Here is a 5,538-nt window from a genome sequence, read left to right on the forward strand (position 1 = left end):
GGTTGTGTAGTATTCTATGGTGTGTATGTACCACATTTTCTTTACTCAATCCACTGTTAATGAGCACCTGGATTGATTCCATGTCTTTGCTATTGTGAATAGTGCTGTGATGAACATATGAGTGCAGATGTCTTTTTGGTAGTAGATTTATTCTCCTATGGGTATATACCCAGTAATAGGATTTGCTGGGTCACAAGGTAATTCCATTTTTAGTTCTTTAAGAAATCTCCAAACTGCTTTCCACAGTAGCTGAAGTCATTTGCGTTCCCACCAACAGTGTATAAACTGTCCCTTTTTTCCAAAGCTTCAGCCACATCTGTTATTTTTTGACTTTTTAAAAATAGCCATTCTGACTGGTGTGAGATGGTATCTCATTGTGGTTATGACTTGCATCTCTCTTATGATTCGTGATATTGAATATTTTTTCATATTTTTGCTGGCCGCTTGTATGTCTTCTTTTGAGAAGTGTTTGTTCTGTTCATGTCCTTTGCCCACTTTGTAATGGAGTTTTTTTTTTTTCTTTCTGGTGTGATGGTTAATTCTGCAAAAGGCATTTTATTTAACAGGCAGCATGGACTTCATACACATACATTATCAGTGCCTTGAAAACCAAAGAATTTTAAAAGTTAGCAGTAGCTTCTAGTTTCTGCATGTACAAAAAAATACATATTTATTTATTTATTTATTTATTTATTTGAGACAGAGTCTTGCTCTGCAGCCCGGGCTGGAATGCAGCGGTGTGATCTCGGCTCACAGCAAACCCCGCCTCCCGGGTTCAAGCGATTCTCGTTCCTCAGCCTCCTGAGTAGCTGGGACTACAGGTCACTGTAGGCCCTGAGTCTGGGCTGGCCACATCCTCCACAGGCCAAGAGCTGGTCTGTGAAGAAGGGTGCTTGTTGGTTGAAAAGGGTGGTAGAGTCCTTTGGTTCTGGTGTTAGCAGTGCAGTGTCTCGAAGGTGGCTCATTTTAATTCCATATAGATCTTCATGCCCCGTGAGTAGGCATGAAGCCTCTTCTTTGCCAGAATTGACCCATAACTTGTAACCTCTCTCAGGGCCAGCTATCCTTAGCATTGGTAATGATATGTTGATATCTTCATTTTCTGTATGTGAATCCATTACTGTTATAGTTTTAGAATAGGCATAATTCTCAATGTCCTTGGTGGAGATTTTGAGGGAAATGCCCTTTGGGTCGTCCTTCTCTTTCTCTAGATTGATGTATCTCTGAAGGAGAGAGAGCTATTTGTCCTTCTGATCTGGAGAACTGAAAGTGGCCACAAAGTTCACTGTGAGTCAGCCCAGAGCCAAGGATTTCATGGAATTGGTGTTGCCTTCTGCCACTTCATCCAGACAGCTTGCTGTCCATATACCAGTTAATCTAATTTTATTTTGTATCTTACAGTTATGTTGTATTTGAGTTTGGCCACACCTAACAGATCATTGAATAGGAAAAGCTGCTCCTCCTGTCTGTGCAGGCCTCTTCCGAGTTCTACCTGGCTGTCAATCCGCAGAGTCCTATTGGAGCACACAAATGATGACAGAATTGCACATGTGTGATGCTAGTGGAAGGACTTTCCCTGGGTTAAAGTTTTTGCAGGACTTTATCTGGGCTAAAAGCTGTGGCACTTCTCCTTTCTGTTAGTGTTTTCTTCTTCCAGGGCTAAGCGCACAGTCAGGCATTGCTGGCCCTGACGACTTCGGAGCTGATCCTGCTGAAGGGCCGCACTCACCTAGGCCACTGCGGGGGATCCAGGGGCACGCTGAGGGGTCGGGGAACGGGGATCCCTCCCCTCCAGCCTGGTGCCCCCACTGAGGGAGGAGTCGGGGTGCTGATGAGGCGGGAGGCAGCTGGAGATGGGAGGGAGGCTGCCGGGTCTGCTCAGAGAGAGAATAAGGCCCTAGATATGGAGAACGAGGAAGCGGCGTGGGGGGCTGGGGGGTTTCGGGGGAGGTGGCAGCAGGGCTGGCCCTGAGGGGCGGGAAAGGTCCTCAGATGACCCTTGCGGGCGCGCACCTCCAACGTCAAATCCCAGTGGCTTCAGCCTCGCGCCCTGAGTGGGGTCTGCGGCTGCGGAGGGCACGGGCTCCACTCAAGCGTCCTCACCGGCTTCCGCGGCTCTCCCCACAGAGCCTCCTGCTGGGGCACATCTTAAAGCAAATCCCAGCCCCGAAGGAACCTAGGCGGTCGGGTCTGTGGTGGCAGAAGGCGCGGCTGCCGTGCTCAGGTGGGCACAGCTCCCCATGTGGGCAGCTGCCTCCTGCAGGGGCCTGTGTGTCGCCGTGCCCTGCATGGCGGGGTAGAAGCGGTTACAGCGGCGACCGCCCTTTGTTTTTTTCTTGTTGATTTGCTTAAGTTCCTTGTAGATCGTGTATCTCAGTCCTTTGTTGGACACATAGTGCACAAATATTTTCTCCCATTCTGTAGGTTGTTTTCAAATCTGTTGATAATTTCTTTTGTTTTGCAGAGATCTTTAAGTCTCATTTTTAATTTTATCGTATTTGCTTTTGGGGTCTTTATCATAAATTCTTACGATTTTTTTTTTTTTTTTTTTTTGCTAGCAGAGTTCTGTCATTAGGATTAGTAAGATTCTTAAGTGTTCCATACAGGTAATAAAATCAGAAGAGTATGACCTCAATATGGTACAATATCCAGGTTTTGGTAGATAGAAGTGATTTTAGAGCGTACTAGTCCGTTTTCACACTGCTATAAAGAACTACCTGAGACTGGGTAATTTATGAAGAAAAGAAGTTTAATTGACTCACAGTTCCACAGGCTTATCAGGAAGCATGACTGGGAGGCCTCAGGAAACTGACAATCATGCCAGAAGGCAAAGGGGAAGCAGGCACCTTTTTTTCACATGGTGGCACAGTGAGTGAAAGGGGAAGTGGCACACACTTTTAAACCATCAGATCTGGTGAGAGCTCACTATCTGGAGAACAGCATGGGGGAAATCTGAGCCCCCATAATCCAATAACCTCCTACAAGGCTCCTCCTTCAACAAGTGGGGATTACAATTCCACATGAGATTTGGGTGGGACACAGAGCCAAACTGTATCATAGAGGTACTTGAACGCCTCACATACTCTCTTTCATCACTTACTGTTGGGGCCTGGAACTTCTGAAGTTTTGATTTCCTCAGCTTTCCACTGTTAAATATGGAAATACAGGTGGGAATACTGTTAATTGCAAATACCTTACAGAAGATATTTGCTACTTTAATCATGAATGATTTCTAAGGGGAATCTAGACAAAGGGCAGATAAGGTTTTGAAAGATATTGGGGCGGTGGGGGGTGGTGGGCAGGAGGCTTGAGGAAAAGCAAAAGAGACTGAGGAGAGCAAAAGATCCCAAAGTAAGAGTTTACCTAGAGCAAGTGTGGAGGGGAGGGAGTTGAGTAGTGAGTGATGTTAAGAGGGCAAGGAATGACTAGGGAAGAGGTCTGAAAGAAAGTTAAGAGTGCCACCAAAGATCACCTGTCTTCTTAAAAATTTTTTTATGGGTAACATTGCATAGCATTATAGAGTAAGAACACTGGGGCATTTAGATCAGGGATTTTTAAATGAGGGTGCATGTGTACGTGATATTAAAACAATACTACCTTGTCCCTCCCCTCCTGGCCCCCAAGTCTCTCAGTTTGAACATCACAGCTACACTGATCCACCAAAAACTGACAGAACCTTGCCCTTTGGTTTGTTGGGCAGCAGAGTGGAAACTCGGGGCTGGGGAAAGAAGGATTGCCTACGATTTTGCTATAAAACATAATTAAAATCGATGTTAACTGCCTTTCTTTAATAAAGGATATACTCTAAGGGTTTTCAGTCATTGTGAGAGATAGGACTAGCTGGATTTCCTAGGCCGACTAAGAATTCCTAAACCTAGCTGGGGAAGGTGACTGCACCCACCTTTAATCACAGGGCTTGTAACTCAGCTCACATCTGACCAATCAGGTAGTAAAAAGAAAGCTCATTAAAATACCAATTAGGCTAAAAGCAGGAGGTAAAGAAATAATCAAATCATCTATCACCTGAGAGCACAGGGGGAGGGACAGTGATCAGGATATAAACCCAGACATTCGATCAGGGAGTGGCAACCCCCTTTGGGTCCCCTCCCATTGTATGGGAGCTCTGTTTTCACTCTATTAAATCTTGCAACTGCACACTCTTCTGGTCAGTGTTTGTTCCGGCTCGAACTGAGCTTTCACTCAGAGTCCACCACTGTTGAACGCCGCTGCCCCAGACCTGCCATTGACTTTCACCTCTCCAGATCCAGCAGGGTGTCCGCTGCGCTTCTGCTCCAGCAAGGCACCCATTGCCACTTCTGATCCGGCTAGAGGTTCGCCATTGTCCTGAGTAGCTAAGTGCCTGGGTTCGTCCTAATTGAGCTGAACACTGGTCACTGGGTTCCATGGTTCTCTTCCGTGACCCATGGCTTCTAATAGAGCTATAACACTCACTGCAGGGGCCAAGGTTCTATTCCTTGGAATCCATGAGGCCAAGAACCCCAGATCAAAGAACAAAAGGCTTGCCGCCATCTTGGGAGCAGCCCACCCCATCTTGGGAGCTCTAAGAACAAAGACCCGTTGGTAACAATTGTACAGTGTCAATTTTGATTGTCTTCTAGTTTTCACAGTATGTAAAATAAAGCAGAATAGTATTAACTCAGGAGCCAGACTTGCTGGGTTTGAGCCCTGGCTCCACTCATTAGCTGTGCAACCTTTTTACCAAGTTATTGAAAATCTTCAGTCCATAGCTAACTCCTTAGTAAAGTGAGTATAACAATATTTCACATTGATAGTAAGATATTAATCAGATAATCCATGCAAAGACCTCAGCACAGTGACTGGACAATAGAAAAGGTTCAATATATGTTGGCTTTAATAAAAACAAAAATACCAAATATAGTAATTAGCTCTTTGTTTTTTGAGATGGAGTTTTGCTCTGTTGCCCAGGCTGGAGTGCAGTATGGTGATCTCAGCACTCTGCAAGCTCTGCCTCTCGTTCAAACGATTCTCATGCCTCAGCCTCCCAAGTAGCTGGGACTACAGGTGCATGCCACCACGACTGGCTAATTTTTTTTTGTATTTTTAGTAGAGATGGGGTTTTGCCATGTTGGCCAGGCTAGTCTCAAACTCCTGACGTCAAGTAATCCACCCGCCTCAGCCTCCCAAAGTGGTGGGATTACAGGCGTGGGCCACCACGGCTGATGGTAATGAGCTCTTTCTCTGAGAATGACTGTTGCTTTTGGATTAAAACTACAGCATTGACTTTAGGTATTTCTTAGACTTGATTAACTTAATAAAACTCTTTGGTACAGAAATAATACTTAATAGGGCAGAAGTTTGTTTGGAGGATAGAACAAAAACCTGACAAACTTATTGTGAGAAATGATTCTTCCATTCTAGCATAGCTCCTTTTGAAGTGTGTGATAGGAAGTTTTGGTGTTTCCCCACCCATCATGGAAATCATGTAAATTGGAGAGGCAAGGAAAAAGCATCTGTATTGGTTTGCTAGAGCTGTCATAAAAAGCACCACACATTGAG

The 5,538-nt window shown here is 45.1% G+C and overlaps 1 pseudogene; it reads right to left on the bottom strand.

Annotated features, from left to right (window-relative positions):
• LOC100287613 (Rho GTPase activating protein 20 pseudogene) lies at positions 849-1,797 on the bottom strand (annotated as a pseudogene).

The sequence above is a fragment of the Homo sapiens genome, chromosome 7, assembly GCF_000001405.40.
Source record: "Homo sapiens chromosome 7, GRCh38.p14 Primary Assembly".
Classification (NCBI taxonomy): domain Eukaryota; kingdom Metazoa; phylum Chordata; class Mammalia; order Primates; family Hominidae; genus Homo; species Homo sapiens.